General features: G+C 35.8%; 1 protein-coding gene and 1 long non-coding RNA gene across 3 annotated transcripts in view; one reads left to right on the top strand and one right to left on the bottom strand.

The window, feature by feature from the left end:
• The window catches only part of USH2A (usherin), an 800558-nt gene that overhangs the window by 447853 nt on the left and 336418 nt on the right, over window positions 1-16287 (bottom strand). The window contains exons 24-29 of the mRNA NM_206933.4: window positions 15976-16077; window positions 13955-14134; window positions 12713-12843; window positions 7346-7619; window positions 2354-2557; window positions 2146-2226 (exon numbers count right to left, since the gene is read on the bottom strand). Of these exons, the coding sequence (NP_996816.3) occupies window positions 2146-2226; window positions 2354-2557; window positions 7346-7619; window positions 12713-12843; window positions 13955-14134; window positions 15976-16077 (972 nt within the window). The remainder of the gene's footprint in view (window positions 1-2145; window positions 2227-2353; window positions 2558-7345; window positions 7620-12712; window positions 12844-13954; window positions 14135-15975; window positions 16078-16287) is intronic.
• USH2A-AS2 (USH2A antisense RNA 2) lies at window positions 1722-16174 on the top strand. 2 transcript variants are annotated; one of them, NR_125992.1, is made up of 3 exons: window positions 1722-1857; window positions 8330-8458; window positions 15979-16174. It is a non-coding gene; the product is annotated as a USH2A antisense RNA 2 (long non-coding RNA). The 2 variants fall into 2 exon arrangements; NR_125993.1 differs by lacking the exon at window positions 8330-8458.

Raw genomic sequence — 16287 nt, forward strand, 5'->3', positions numbered from 1 at the left:
ACTTGAATGCCTAGACCCATTTTCCAAATGCAATTGTTTTTCTAATTAATTTTTAAAAAGCAAAGTTCTACCAGATATGATATATGGAATATATTCTTAGTTGCAGTTTTTGGGGGTGGGGGTGGGGTAAAGGAGCTGGTGCCTTTGAGATTCTACAAAGTCATTTTCAAAGTCTTGTTCTGCAGAATATTTCAAAATAATATCACAAAATGAGGAAGTTTAAAAGAACTGCAAAACCTTACTTACAAGCTGAGCCCCCTAATTTAAAAAATCTATTACCTTTAACTATTTATTAGACATTTCTACAGTTCTGATCAGTAAAAACTTCATCACAGCTGAGTGCACTGGGGACACAAAGAAAGAGCCCAAGGAACTCCGTGGCAGGATGATGGATGAGAGACCTGCTCTAGCTGCTCATGGACTCCTGAGCCCTGTCGATGGAGGATCACTCTGGTTTTTCCACATCAAATCTCCTCCTCTCCGACTTTACTGTCCAGACCAATAAAGTAGGACAGCTTTAAGGGAAACAAAGTGAACATAAAAGATAAGAGGAAACACCAAAGGGGAGAACCACTCTCTGAGCAGTTAAAACACTACAGACACCTATAGAAAACACACAGGCCACAAGATCGAGTTGCAAGGAAAGGGACAATGGGAGTGACGCTGATTTTATTAGTTCGGAAATGTGGTACAGGGCAAAGTACAGTACAGTCTAACAGATGGTCTTCTCATAAGGGACAGAGCAAAACTGACTCAAAAATAATTAAATAGTGCAATTATTCTCCAACCCTTGGGAGCATGTAGCTGCTCAGTGTTGTGGTCAGATTGTAAATATGAATTTATGGCATAGGGCTGTGGTCAGATCATTGCTATAAATTCAGAGCTCTATTTGTGTACTTTCTCAGTAGTACTCAAAATGGGGACTATTAAGCTAAGTAAGCAATGTGCTTTCCAGACGCCTATTAATGTTGCTGAATTATACTCAAAGCGGGCTTTATATTTGTTAATAAAGTAGAAGAGTGTGAAATAGGAGCAGAGAACATGTCAGTAACAAGTGAGTATTTTATATTGGAGCTTTCTCTTAGCTCTGAAGTTGAAAAGAATTTTAAGAGATCGTTCAGCTCATTGTCTTGCCTATAAATAGGTGATAATTTAAATCATCCTGGAAAAGTGTCAAGTTGTCCTCTTCTGGAAAATATGTAGGTAGAGAGTCTTGAAAATTATTCTTAGTTGCTCATCTCAGTATTTAATTATATTTTAGATTAAGAAGATTCCTCAAAGGATGCCTGGGATAGTAACCTACTGTTGATTAAGTATAAGAGAATACCTTGATGGAAACACGTCTTTAGACAAATTGATACTCGCTGAATAAACTTCCTTGCTGAGACATAAGTGGCAATCATCTGGAGATGTGTTCAGTTTCCTGACAAATATTTGACCCAAAATAGTAGAATGTCACTGATTCACAAAACTCTTTGTGCTGAATGCCTTCCTGTGGTGGTATTTTGGGAAAAGATTTTGTGGCCAGTCAGAAGTACAAAACAAGTCAGTTGTCTGAGATTAGGTCTAATGTATACTGTCTCCTAGTTGGTTCTTTTCCAATTCAAAATATATTAAACCAATCAGCAATTTCTCTCTTGGGAGAGTCATTCTAAGATTCTAATAGTCAACAACGGGGCAAACATCTGCAATGATGTCATAGACACCCCTGATTCCAACCAGTTGCAGGTTTCAAATGTGCTTTCTGTGAGAAAGTCAAGAAGGTGCCACTCCCAGCCAAGGATAATCCTAATCCCTGACTTCAGCTTCTTGCTATCTACACCATCTGTAAAGGTTACCTATCCTTAGACATGTTAGGTAGGTGGGACTATTACATCCTTAAGACAACCTGAACTTTCCTTACTTCTGCATCCTAAGAGGAAAGGATCAAGTCTGAGCAAGTATTTAGTGAATTCTTGGTAAATGAAAAGCACTGATCTACTAAGCATTTTAGCCATTGACAGATGTATTTTCAAACCAAGGCATGCTCTGTCAGAAGACTACAAAAATATTACTGCTTCAGGGTAATAGTCCTTCCTTTTATATAAATGCACAAATACATGCATGTGTGTGTGTGCACATATGCATTTGAAGATAAGTATTTACCTGCTCCTGTTGTACGTCCTCGACTCCAATCACTATATACTGAACCTCCTTCATGCGAGGCTATCACTCGATACAGGTATTCTTAAATGGAAATAAGATGCAGCAAGATTAAAATAATACTCATATAGATTAATGAGGGGCTGGCAGGGAGGGAAAGGGGGATGAATAAGAGACATGTAACATTTAATTTAGAGGACCTCCACATTACCTGTAAAAGGCTGGAGACCACCCTCGTAAACACTCTGCTCTTTTCCCTGGTAAACCAGGATGGAGTCATTTCCCCTGCAGTTAACAGCACTGTCAGTTGATAGGCATCCATCCAGATTGACTCTGACAGCACCGCTGGACACAGATGCCAAGTTAACGACAGCACCCCGTGTAAATTTAACATCCTTCATGCAACCACCGAAACCTAGCAAATAGTAAGGGATTAGTATCGCATAAAGGGCTTGAGTCATTAATTACCAATCATTTTTGTCCTCTGCAGCACTACATTTTGAGGAAGGGGGGTGGTTAGATACAATTGCTAGACTTTCGAGTCTTCCTTGGAAAACCTTTTATGCCTCCTACTTTTTAACAAGCTAATTTGTTGCAAAGAAATATAGTTCTGTTATTTGGAAAACACATTAATGGATAATTCTAATTTAACTTTTGGTACTGAAAAAGCATTTATTTTACCTCCTTAGGCCCACATTTTCTAAATTCCGCTTCTTCCCATAAAATAAAATTTAGGCAACTTCATATTATGGTAGGGGGATAGCCCCATGTCTCTTAATTCTGAAAGATTAAGTTACTATATAAGTCAGTTTTAAGTGCCAAAAAATAATATTTGAATTAGCATGATTATTCAGTAAGCTCATTGGGGAAAAATACACTCTGAGCATTTTATGTAGAATACCAGGAGAGAGAACATAATTTCAAAATATATTAGTCCTGAAATATTGCCATGAATGGCATAATGATCACTTCAGAGGTATAGAATTTAGCCCGAGTTACATCAGCCTACAGAAGAGCTGTCACTATGCTCTATCATTTTTCACAGAGTTCCATAATCTTGAACATACAAAATGGTCACCAGTTTTACATCCCCATTAGCATGACAGGGGCCAGCCTTCACTGTTGGCAATAGCAACACCATGAGATTTCATGGAATGTGCATTCTGCACAGGTGACCTTAGAACACCCACTGCGCAGTACCATTCTGTGAAGTTTAACAGAGAATGCGGATGAAATGAATTTAGAGTATTCACCACTTTTTTGTTAGACAGCAAACAAAAAAGGCATCCAGTTAGCCAGGGAATAGCAGTGGCTTTGAATTACATGCTATTTTGTGAAAACAGAGATCAGCTCAGTGAAGTCTGGCAGTACTCTGCGCAGAAAACTGCACGAAATTGGGACAAACAGGACCGAGTTTGAGATTGCTGTAGCGTGCATGTTCTCTCTCTCTCTCTCTCTCTCTCTCCGAACAAAACACTGTAAAGTTTGAAAGGCCTCAAACACATGATCAGCTCTTTTCAAGATTAAAGCACAGCAGCAGGAAATGGAAATAAAATATAATGAAATGCATAACAGTAAAATAAGTTAATAGTAACAATGACCATATTGTTCTCCTCAGCATTCATATGATGTCTTATTATGCCTTCTAACACATTAAGTTGCAGCCTATTTCCTTTTAAATGTCTTTTACTATTATCCACATTTTTTTAGTCCTGACTGATCAATACTGCTAGTCTATCTTAAACACACAGTAGACACTCAATAAGTTGGGTGAATTGAATTGAAAGCAATGAAGCTCAATATGAAATCATTGGCTGGAAAATTCAGAAGCTAAGAATTTTAATGTATTTATCAGTAGTAATTTTCTGATGGCACATAACTGTATTATCAAAATTCTCTGTACCCTAACTTCCCTACCAACAAAATCAGAACAGTGAAAGGGCAGCTTGGCAAACAAGTGCTGTTATAAGAAATGCTACATTATTTTTTGAGGGGTACATAGTTTTAGCTTTGCAGGATGAAAAGAGTTCTTCAGAGGGATGGTGGTGATATCTGCAAAACAATGTGAATGTACCTAATGCCACTAAACTGTACATTTAAAAATGGTTACAATGGTAAATTTCATGTTACATATATTTTACCATAATGTTTAAAAAATTAAAAATTTAGCAAAAAACATCATAAAAATTAATTCACAAGATGAAATTTTCAATTTGGGAAAGCCCAGGGAGATACATCTTTCTTCATTTTGGAGATGAAGAAAAAGGCCTAGAGAGTTAGTTATAAAATGAAGTTTGTAAGCACTAATCCTCCTAAGGAAATGGTCCTCTGGCCTCTGGCCTTGGAGACTGCTGAGCTCTTGAAGCTGCTGAGCTCTAGTGCAGGGTCCTTCCAGTGGCAACCAAAGAGTTCAGTTAAGGTTGTCCCGTGCTTTCAACTCTGTACCACCAGAAATGCTCCCCAGACCTAAAACATTTGAATGAGATGCGAGGACAACAAAAGGAGAAAGGGGATGTTTGCGAGAGGAGTGGAAATGCTTTCTTTTCTTACTCCACTACCCTTGTGAGAATCCAAAAAAATCCCCATCCACACCACCACCCCTGGGCCTCTAAATGCCTAAAAGGCGGCCCAGAGCTCTAAGATGACTAATCAGAAAAACATTAGCCCTTCCTCTAGGGAAGGCAGTACTGCTGCAGAGTGCTTGGCTTGGCAGGCCTGCTAAATTTGAGCCCCCACTCTCTCCCTCTCCATGGAGGGGTTTGGGCAGAGCATTGCCTGTGAGACCACATGCCAGACCCAGTCATGCCCAACCTAGATGTAAGTGATTATCCTCATTGATCATTCTAAGAAGATAAACTCTCATCATCTGAGCTGGCACATCTTCAGCAAATTATGTTGCCCAGCATTTTCAAAACAAGAAAGAAAATTAGTCTTGTATCTGGTTCGGAGGAAGATTGCAACGTTAGTAGATTAAAAAAAAAATAGCACTAATATGACCACAAAATAGAGCTTCTGATGAAAAAAAAAAGGTGCTAATTAAGAAGCAGAGAAAAGGAAAAACGTTTTTAAGACAATTGATAGTGGGTTGAAAGAAATACATTAAATGAACATGATTTGTTTTAATTGCAATTGACTACATACATGCTGCACCTCTGTATTGTGACTAGTCTCCCTGATCACCGTATAAAACATGCAGCTATTTATATAGATCAGTGTCTCTCAAGGCATCTGAGTCAGAATCTTAGGGGACAGGGGTCCCTAACATCTGTATTTTTAATAACCATTCCAGGTGATGTCAATGTATCTTGAATAGTAAAAATAATGGCTAATTTTGACTTCTACGTTCCAGCTACCATACGTCAATATTTTTTCAGTGTTTTGAGACCACTGATATGGATGATACTACAGTAATAAAAATTTAATATTACTCACTAATAAAATATCTTCCAGTATCACAGACTTAGTCATAGTGTGTAGGTAAAATTATTCCCTTTGGGTCTATGGTGATGTTTTAAACTTCTGTTATTATCTTACAATTTTGGTTTTAGCCACGTCTTTAGGACCATCAATAGTAATGGGTTTAGGGGTAATTCAAAGAACAAGGCTGTACATGCAGGGTTTTTGTTTCTTGTTTTTATTTTTTTTTTCCCAGAAGCAAACAGGATTAAGTAATCTCACTCATACGAAGGGTTTTCAAGTTCTTTCTAACCTCAGAAACCTGAAAACCTGGAGAAGCTCTTATATGAATGTAATATTTTTAGCTGCTGTTACATCTTAAGTGCCTTGAAAATGTCATTACTGTCTTACACCCCAGTTATTCATTAACTCCTTACTACTACCCTTCTAAAAGTCTCCTAAGAGCTTGCCATATATTTTCTATTCAAAGGCATTTAAATCTTTATGTACTTACCAAATAGGCAAAGATTGCCTCATGAAAATTTTAACCATTCAGGGTATGTAGATTTTGAAATACGTAAAGGACCTTTTTCACACGTGGGAGGGTGCTTGGTCCTATGCTGGAAGTTACTATGCTTTCCCCACTTTACAAAGGAGCATTGACCAATGCCCATAAAAGAGAGCATTGACTGTAAAAAGGAGAGTTGACTTTATAACAGGCTGCCTGAGAGACTTAGTGTCTTGCTATCTGCTTACTAGCCATGTGACCTTGGGAAAGTTACCTTCCTCTCTGCTCTTCAGTTTCCTCATCTGTAATGAGGATATAAATAATAATGCCTAACACACTTGTTATGAATAATTGACTCACCTATTCTCATGTAAGCTCTCAGAACCATGACTGCCACAAGAAATGATACACAGATATTGTTAGCCTTTTCAAATTAATTATTTCTCTGATTACATTCAAACGTCTATGAGTTAACTTCTCACCTAAATTGTAAATAATGCACTTTTCCTTTCTCTTATAGTTATTAATAATCTACAATATATAGATTTTCACAAGTATGTTTGGAAGTCAACCACATACACCCCACATTTTTTTTCCACATGAAAGCTCTACTGAAAAACTATGGAGACAATTAGCATTTATGTCAAAGAAAGAAAAGGCAATGAATTGCATTGATATTTTTTACTAGTTATGCATACCAACTTAATTTATTTTTTCATCTGTAAATACAGATAATGATCATTATCCAACATATGAGGAAATACATTTATATGCATTATATATATAATTATATATATAATTATGTATGTACACACATATATTTCTTATATAATTATGTATCTCACATATAATTGCATTACATATTTAAATAAATATATAAATTACTAATTTTTCCATATAAATATCATCTTTGGGAAGCACCTCAGTTACCTTATTTATAATCAACATATTTATTTTGATATTTATTCAGTAAATAGTAATTTATATATATAATTATGTACCACATATATAATTATATGTCACATTAATAATAATATGTATATTAATTACTATTTACTGAGGACATATTGAAATAAATATGCTGATTATAAATGATGGCACATTGTTAAGGGTAACACACAAAACTCTTTGAAAAAGTGTTTTCATTAGTTTTTAAGGTTTAAATTTCTCCAGAAAAAGAGATGCTGTTGGGTGCTGCTTTTAGCCTGAGTCTATTGCTATCTCTTGAAACACAGAACCACCAAAAACTGTTAGCACCAGGGCTGTATGGATTTGTGAATTCCTCCAGATGGAACTTACCTTGTTCCAAACACAAATGTTGATAAGAGTTCAGCAGTTCCTGTGGGATTCCTCCCACATAAACTGGTGAATTCACCACCAGTGGCTGGTCTCCGGACTCCGATGCATGCTTCATCAGTCCATTCACACTTGCTGATATGAAAGAGCCTTCCTTTTTAATAATGACTTTATTCCACTTTCCATTACAATAGGATAGCCCCAGCAATAGATCCACTTGTGTAAAGGCAAGACTGGTATTTAACCGGAAGGTCAATATTCCACTTTTCAGCTCCATCTGTATTTTATATTAAAAAAGAAAGTAGGTATATAAAAAGGCTGCAGAAGGGCAGTTTGGGAGAGAGCAGAAAGTCAATTTCTTGAAGAAAAGCAAAACAGTTCCCTGAAAGCACTCTATAGAAATGTGTCACTCTACCCTAAGTTTCTGCTTAGGAACATAGGAAACACTTTTCTAGCTTATAGTTGACATGAAGAATGTTGTATTGATGCAAACAAATTCATACCTACTAATGATTATAGGATGTGATGCGATGTTATGTAGACCTAAGGTTTACTTTTGCTGCAACATAGTTAGAAGATTAAACCCCTGCATAAGTGACTGAATGACTGAAGAGAACAGAACACTTTGAACTATGACTCTTTGAATTTTTAGAAAATGAGAAAATACTACTTCATATATCAATTTAATTTGGGGGAAAATATGGCAAGACAATAAGAAAATGAAATGTCAAGCTTGATTAAGCTTATTTTAACTGGCTAGTGAACTCAATTTCAAATATGTAAGACATATTTTGATTCAATATTTCGGTTTTATTCTAAATCTTTAACTAACATAATTGCTTCTATGTGTATTCTATTAGATGACTGTACCATTTTCTAATGTGAACATATTTCACCCAAATTTTCATAGTAAAAAATAAGTTCATAGGTTTTCCTTCAAAATGTCTCATGATAATTATTTTACCTAATATATTTTTACTTTGTTAGAAACCATATCAGTAACCATATGATATTTAAAATCTTGAGATCAATTGTGTCGAGTAAAACAAATTAAATCATGCCAGATAAAAATTATGAATTTTTCCATAAAAGCATCATCTTCAGGAAGGACCTCAGGTAAGCAATTTTTCATTTGTCTAACCACTTATTCAATAAATATCGAGTCTCTTACAATGTGCCATATACCTGCTGCTCTAAGGTAAACACTGCTCCTAAGAGTCATACTGTCTAGTAGCAGAGGCAAACATGTGGGAGCAATACAACAATCAAGACAAGAAAGGAGTAAAGTGAAAGCAGAGAACAGAGAAGGCTTTTTGCTCCCTGGAAATTGGGAAAGGTTTAAAGCAAGGTTTTAGAAACTATATAAGATTCATGGAGGGTCCCCCAAGGAGGGGGACTAATATGCATGACATGAGGACATCAGGTTCAGAGAAAGGCACCAACTTAGCTAAGACAAAGGGTACATATGGAGGTGGGAGGTGAGGTAGTGTCTTGCCAGCTATGTAGAAGCCAGATTTTAAAGGACTTTCAGTGATAGGAGGGTCTGGTATGGAAAGAATGTTTGGTGTCTGTCTGAAACCAAAACTCATATTCTTCCCAGTATTACCTTGCACTAAAAGCTTAGCCTACCAGACATAAGAAGTACACATTGAAAACAAAATCTCGACTAGAATTCAGGAAATGCATTAGGAAATCCATTTAATTGTGAAAACATATTGAGAGTCATTAAAATAAGGATAATGATGATGCTGATGAAAGAGAAGACTCAATCTTAGAAGTATTTGTAAAAGCAACTCATTAGGACCTGGTAAAAAAGGTAAATGAGTTAGATGAATTAAAAAGAAATTAAGAACACATCTCATCTTTTTTGGGTAACTAGGAGGGTGTTCTGCCATCATCACGTTATGAAAAGCATTTGAAAGAAATGCTGACTGTTGTTGTTGACAAGGAGGAGGGGTGAGTTCATTTTAAATATATTGAGTTTGAAATGCCTATAAAACATCCAGATGAAACTCTTTTTGAGGAAGTCAAACATAAAGATACACAGTTTGGGGATGGCCCAGCAAAAAGGAGAAAATACATGACAAAATAAATAAGATTATTCAGTGAGTGTAAAAAGACTGAGAGAAAAGGGAAAAGATTAGTGTCCTCAGCAAGACCAATGTTTTAAGGGTCTTGTAGTAGAAAATAGTTCTTTTAAGTGACAATGATCTCCTTAAAGAAGCTAAGAGAACTTAATGAAATCAGGAGAAACTAGTATTTTGGAAAATCAGTAGGGAAGAATAAGAAAAAAACAGAATGACAGAAAAAGGACAAAAAATATAAGAAATAAAAATCATTGGGCTAGGAAATGTGGGGGTCATTGACCACTTTAGAAAAGTGATTTTGTAGAAAGGTGTGGTAGGGGCAGGAACCTAATGTACAGTCATTTTAGGGACTGAAGTGAGATGAAAAAGTGGCAATAACAAAAGTAACCACTTTCAATGCACTTGACCATGAAGGTAAGGAAAAGTACAGTGGAGGAGGCTTCACAGACAAAAGAAAAAACACTAAGGAAAATAAATTTCAATCATTCCATATATTGAGGGAAAAGAGCCAATTGAGAGGGAACAGTTGAACATACAAAGAGGGGAGACTGTAGAACAAGTTCTTACAGAGGAAGGGATAGAATCTAGGATGACGGTAGACATATTTTCTTTGGTTGTAAGCATGGTAATTGTTCATTTGTTCCCCTGAGTCGGTAGAGAGTGAAATCTGGCTTGGCTCAAATACGGTCAAGTTGATAGAGAGACTGAAAGTTGAATATGCATGCTTGTTTTTATCAGGAGAGTGTGAGACTACCTGAAGACATTCAGGTTATAGTGTTTCTAGATCCTAAGATTATTTTTCTTTCACTTTCTACATCTAAAATATATTAGAAAATCCTGTAAACAATAGATACTGTTTAATAAAAGAATTGGAGAGCTCAAAACAAGTTCTCATACCCGTATTAGTTTTCCTATAGTGTTTAGCAATCTAGCTACTAGAACTGAAAAGCGAGGTGGCTGGACTGATGGATCAAGGTTTGTGAAGCCCAATACAAGACACAAGATCAGGGTATTGGTAGAAATATGGTTGAAGAAATACATTATAGTGGCTCAGGTAAGGAGCAAGTAAGTTAACTAGAAAGTGGGCTAATAGCCAATGGTGTCAATGCGTTGGTGAACTTAATGAGAGAGACTGAGAGAGCTAGAGGGATATGAGGTTATATTTTGAGATTCAAGGTTTCAGCAATGGAAACATTCTGAGTTTATCAAGTTCCAGGGGATAACCATGCATATTGAAATAAGTCAGTATAATAGAAAGAGTTGTTGAGGGGTAATCTGGGAGCAGCCTCAGTCCTCAGATATGGCAGACCGTAATGTTAAGTTTTATGAAAGACTGCTTCCTTTCAGTTGCATGGGAAGTGTTAAAAGAAAGCCAAGCACATAATAGGCACTCCGTATATATTTATCTAAGTGTATTGATTTTTTTTTGTTTTGTTTGTTTTGAGACAGAGCTCTCTTGCCCAGGCTGGAGTGCAGAGGTGCAATCACAGGTCACTGCAGCCTTCGACTCCCAGTCTTCAGCAATCCTCTTGCCTCAGCTTCCCGAGTAGCTGGAACTAGCTACAGTGTCTGGCTAACTTTTTATTTTTATTTTTATTTTCATAGAAAAAGGGTCTCACTATATTGCCCAGGCTGGTCTCGAACTACTGGCCTCAAGCTACCCTCCTATAATCCCAGGCCTCTAAAAGTGCTGGAATTATAGGGGTGAGCCACTGCACCCAGCCTTAATTTTTTAATTTTTTTTTTTTAGTAAGAGTTACTTAAAGTTAACAGTATTATTTAATACAGTAACAAAGCAATGAATAGAGGAAGGTGGAGGGTGGAAGCATGGCATAGTAGGGCATATAGACCTCCAGCTCAGGCATATGGTCCTCAAGAGGAGGAGCCAAATGGTAAACATCTTTGTATCCTCCACAGTGTATGCACATGTAGATGACTCAACGATGCTCAGTGAAGGTCACCACAGCATGAGCTCATTCACATGTTCACTCATTCATTCATTCAACAATATTGATTAACATGATAATTGCTAAGGCTTAGGCACTGAAGATACAACTATAAAGAAGAGAACCAAGGTCCTTAGATTCATAGACATTACGTTTCAGCGAAGATTCATAGACATTACATTTCAGAGAAGATTCATAGACATTACGTTTCAGAGAAAGAAGCCAACAATACACAAGAGGACAAACAAATATTTAAAAAAGCAGAAATTTTAATAAATACTATGAAGGGATAAATTTCCATTTCCCTTCTTAGCAATATTGGCATTGTGTATGCTAGGAATGTTAAAAAAAAAAAAAAAAAGATGAACGTATCTTAGACTCTTAAAAGCCAAGACTTGTATTTGTCTATTTGCCTAGAAATCAAGAATCTAAGGGTAAGATGTTCATATTTTTCTCCTGTTTCTATGCTAGTTCTTTAAAACAACTTTTAAGAATTAAAATTTTAATAACGTATTTAACAGTGGTATCAAACTAATGATTAAAGACAAGGAAAAGCAGTTACAGTTGCCCATTGTATTTAGAGAAATGTATAAAAATGTTTATAGCAGTCTTATTCATTGAAGCAAAACATGGGAACAACCAATACATCATTGGTAAGAGAAGAGAAATACTACACAGCCAAGAAAATGTATACCTATGTGGACACATAAATGACTCAGAAACAATGTTGAGTGCTAAAGAGAGAGTATAAAACCAATTTTATAAATTTCAAAAGCAAGAATTTGTAGGCATTCATTAGGTGTTCAAACTATAAAAATGCATGTGAATAACAAATACAAAATTCTGATTACCTATGACATCTGAAAGGAGATGGAAACAAGATAGGAAAGACTTTATAGATAGACCAAAAATGATAATATTCAGTTATCAGGCGTGGTGGTAGGTCCAGGAGTGTTCACTATATTATTATACTTGATTATCTATATGTCATATGAAAAATATATAATATATATGCTTTCAAAACTCATATCAAAAGATAATGAGGGAAATAGTGTTTTTCATATCTTAAGATACTAAATTGAATTTTCTTAATTCCTTATATCTAGTCTGTTTTCTTAAAATTATAATTGTTACAATTGTCATCTTAAAAAATTACTAGGATAATAAAATACAAAATGTTTCACAGGACTTCAAAACTAAAAATGACTGGGAAAAAAAATGAACAAATGTGAATTTGTAAAGAAACCCCAATTAAGTGTAATGCCAACACATGGTTTATTTATTTTAAAGTTGGGTCCTATATTTTAAAGTAATTTTAATCAAATTAATTCACATACAGCAAGAAAATCAGGTCCATCTTTGTTATAAACGAAAAGAAGCAATCCATTTAATTGGTCAGTTCTGAACTTAAAGGAAATCTCAAAGTTCATTCCACCATGAAACATATATGGATGAAGTTCCAGGAACCCTTTAAAGATAAAAATATGTACATATTAGCATGTGTAACACAATATTGCCAGCATTGTAAGGGTGCTAAGAAACTCTAGGACACAGTCTGCCACTGAGTAAATCTCACAAAAGAAGATGCAAATCAATGTTAAGAAATTCCTTTTGTAATTGCACAGAAGTGACAGAAAGACCTTGATATACTAAGAAAGACTTTGATATATATTATACTTTTTAACAGGAAGAAATTTGCTCTCTAAATCATGTGTTGTCTGTATCATGTAAGATTATTACTGTTTCAGATAAATATTAACAATAAGTAGTTTGCATTGACTAAAAGAAACTCAGAATGACCTTGATGAAAACAGAATAAAAAATGTGTAGATTATATTATTAATATCATATGCCTTTTTGTGCTGAAGGCAGTTTAAGCAACTTAATAACCAACCAACTTAGCTGTAAATATAGGAGGCAGTGATGGGCTTTTATTTGATGAACAAGCCGGGTGCACCAAGCCACCATCATCCCTCTCCCCTTCCCCTGGGTGGAAGTCTCTGCTCTGATCAGGCAGAGACTCAATGTGCATGCATGTCAGGGGTAAGCTACAGACACTTACACCTCCCCTTTCATTGTAGCCTTTTGAGCAATGGCAGGGATGGTGGTTCTAGTCTCCAGTTCTCTCTCAATGGCCTACTTAACCCATTACCTAGCCGAGAATTAACTAAGAACATTGTTCTTCTATATAATGAGATAAATAGGCATTTGTGGATTAACCTAGTAAACAAAACTCTTTGAAACATCTTTCTGAGTGCATTCTAAGTACACCTCTCTAACTGCATTCTAGTTTCCAAACAACTGATTTGCAAATGGACATTGGTGATGCTAACATATGTAAATCAAGAACTGCATGAGTTACCAGAGATATCATACATGGATGTATACTTATGAGTCTTATAATTTATATTGCATATTCAGATGTCAAGAATATATTTGTGTGCACCATTGGAATAACTAAGTATTTCTGTGATACTAGGTTCATATGAGGTCAAGTTAATCAAACAGGAGAGATTAAATTATACAAAGGATAGAACATAGATTTTAAGTGAACACTCATGTCTTTTTTAGAGCATTACCTGCTCCTAGGAACTGAGCTCCCTCATTTAATGAAGCGGGACATCCCTCCCAGCTGTTATACACGTTGATTTGTTCTTCAGAACTCTGCCAATCCAGAGGTTCCCAAATAGCTGACGGATTGTAATTCTTCATAAAATGTACATCCTTGAGACAGCCCACAAAACCTTTTTGGATTATCTCTGCAGGAGTTTATAGATATCAAGAAATATATATTTTGAAAGATTATTTTCAAGCAATTAATTTTATGTGCCATTAAAGTCAAAGAAATAGGCACTAGCTCTCACTACCTATTTACTGCAAGCCTCTTAATGATTCATGTAAACACCACACCATCAGCTATAGTAAATGATAGCAATTATAATGTTTAGTGCTGGTTCAAACCCATCATATCTGCAGAAACAGATGTTTATGCAGAAACCTTGGTTTTGCAGTAGCAAGAATATTGCCTTTTCAACTAACACAGAAAATTCATCTGCCACTAGCCTCAAAAATAAAGTACTATAATTTTAAAAGTTAGATTGGAAGGGAGTGTTTCTATTTAATATATAGTTTACAGTTTAGATTCCTCATCTATGAACCAGTCTGTTACTGAAGTAAATCAATAATTTGGCTTCATATTTTGGGAAATGTATATAGTGTTGATCTTGAATGTGGAACTCTCCAGACCAGGTAGAGGTGGCTTTATAAATACAGTGAATAGGGTGATAACAGAAGGTTGAGAGAGAAAATGTGCAAATGAGAGAATTAGAGAAAAAGCAAGAAAAAAAAATCAAGAGGAGGAGAAGGTGCACTGAGGTCGAATTTCACACAGCCACCTCCTTTCCTATGGGGGCAAAGCTTAGTTTTCAGCTTTGAGTTTATGAGAGTTTTATAAGGCCAATTTACATAGACAAAGTAAAATTGGTTATTCATAATGGAGATGTGTCCTCTACAGGAAGGGTACTTAGTATCAGGGTATTCTCTCCTAGTACCTGAAGATACTATTTCCCAGAAGGGCAAAAAACAAAGGCTGTGTACGTGAGTGTGTGTGTGTGTGTGTGTGTGTGTGTGTGTTTTAGAGGGACTTCTCTGTCAGTCTCAAGTAGTTGAATGAAAACCCTCTCTAATCTAGAGACATTTCTGAGGAGGTAACTATAATCAGCCTTGAGGATTCAACTATATCCTTCTCCTAAATTTGATGAACACTTTCTATTCCTTTTGATCTTCATCATGATTCCCTGAGACTGCAACCCATGAACAAATTATACTTATCTGGGTTCTAGCTTATTTGTAATATTTATGTAGTTATATTTTAACTTCCTGGGAGAGACTTGGGAGGCACCCTGTGATTCTTAATGAGGACTTGGGAAACAATCCTAGAATATTAGCATTGCGTTTGAAGGGTGATTTTTTTTCCTATCTAAGGTTAATTCCATTCATGTTCATTTTAATTAGTTTCATTTTAGAATATGTTCTTATGCTCTTGTTCTAAAAATATGAGAATCACTTTGTCTATAGCTCAATTATAGCACTAATGGCATTAGGCTGGAATTGTCTGTTTATACGCCTGTGACCTCTATTGTGATAAAGACCACATTTTATTCATCTATGAATATCTAGGGATTGGTTTAGTGCCTATCACATAGTATTCAGGGAATGTTCTTCACCCTATTTAGAGTATAAATCAAGCTCATAGTTTTCCATTTCTGTGTTGTTTCACATTCAATTTAAAATCTTAGAAAAAACTATGCATAGGTCCTAAAATAACATACCTTTGACTGAAATTATTATAATTCATTTCAGCAAAAGTTTTAATGAATTCCTTTTATATATCAAGAACCGAGTACTAACAATATAAATACAAGTCATATGGAATACATGGTTCCTTTAAAAAAAAGAGACCTAAAGGAAATTTTTGGCACATTAATATAGAAAATATAGCATGAGGTAGAACATAATACTTATTCTTACTTTAAAATAATGTAAACAGGTTCTATTCTAAGTTTGGATGACAACATATAATATACCTTACTAAACTCACCAGGATCCTTCCTGAGGATGGTATAACTTCGCGGGAGCCCTCCCAGAAAGACTCCTGTGTTATCTCCAATAACAGTACTACCATTCAGGATGGCAGAGGAACCTAGAGAAGAGGAGATGAGAAATACACCTTCACCAGGATACTCTAGTTTTACTAGCTCAGCAAATAATAAAATCCTTCACCAGCCTTTGGGATACCACTCTCTTGGTTTTCCTCTCTCCTCATTGCCTGTTCATTACTTTTCTTCACTGGCTCTTCCTCAACATCCCAGCATCATGATGTTGGAATGATCCAGACCGCCTGCCTCTCAGG

The sequence above is a fragment of the Homo sapiens genome, chromosome 1, assembly GCF_000001405.40.
Source record: "Homo sapiens chromosome 1, GRCh38.p14 Primary Assembly".
In the NCBI taxonomy this organism is placed as follows: domain Eukaryota; kingdom Metazoa; phylum Chordata; class Mammalia; order Primates; family Hominidae; genus Homo; species Homo sapiens.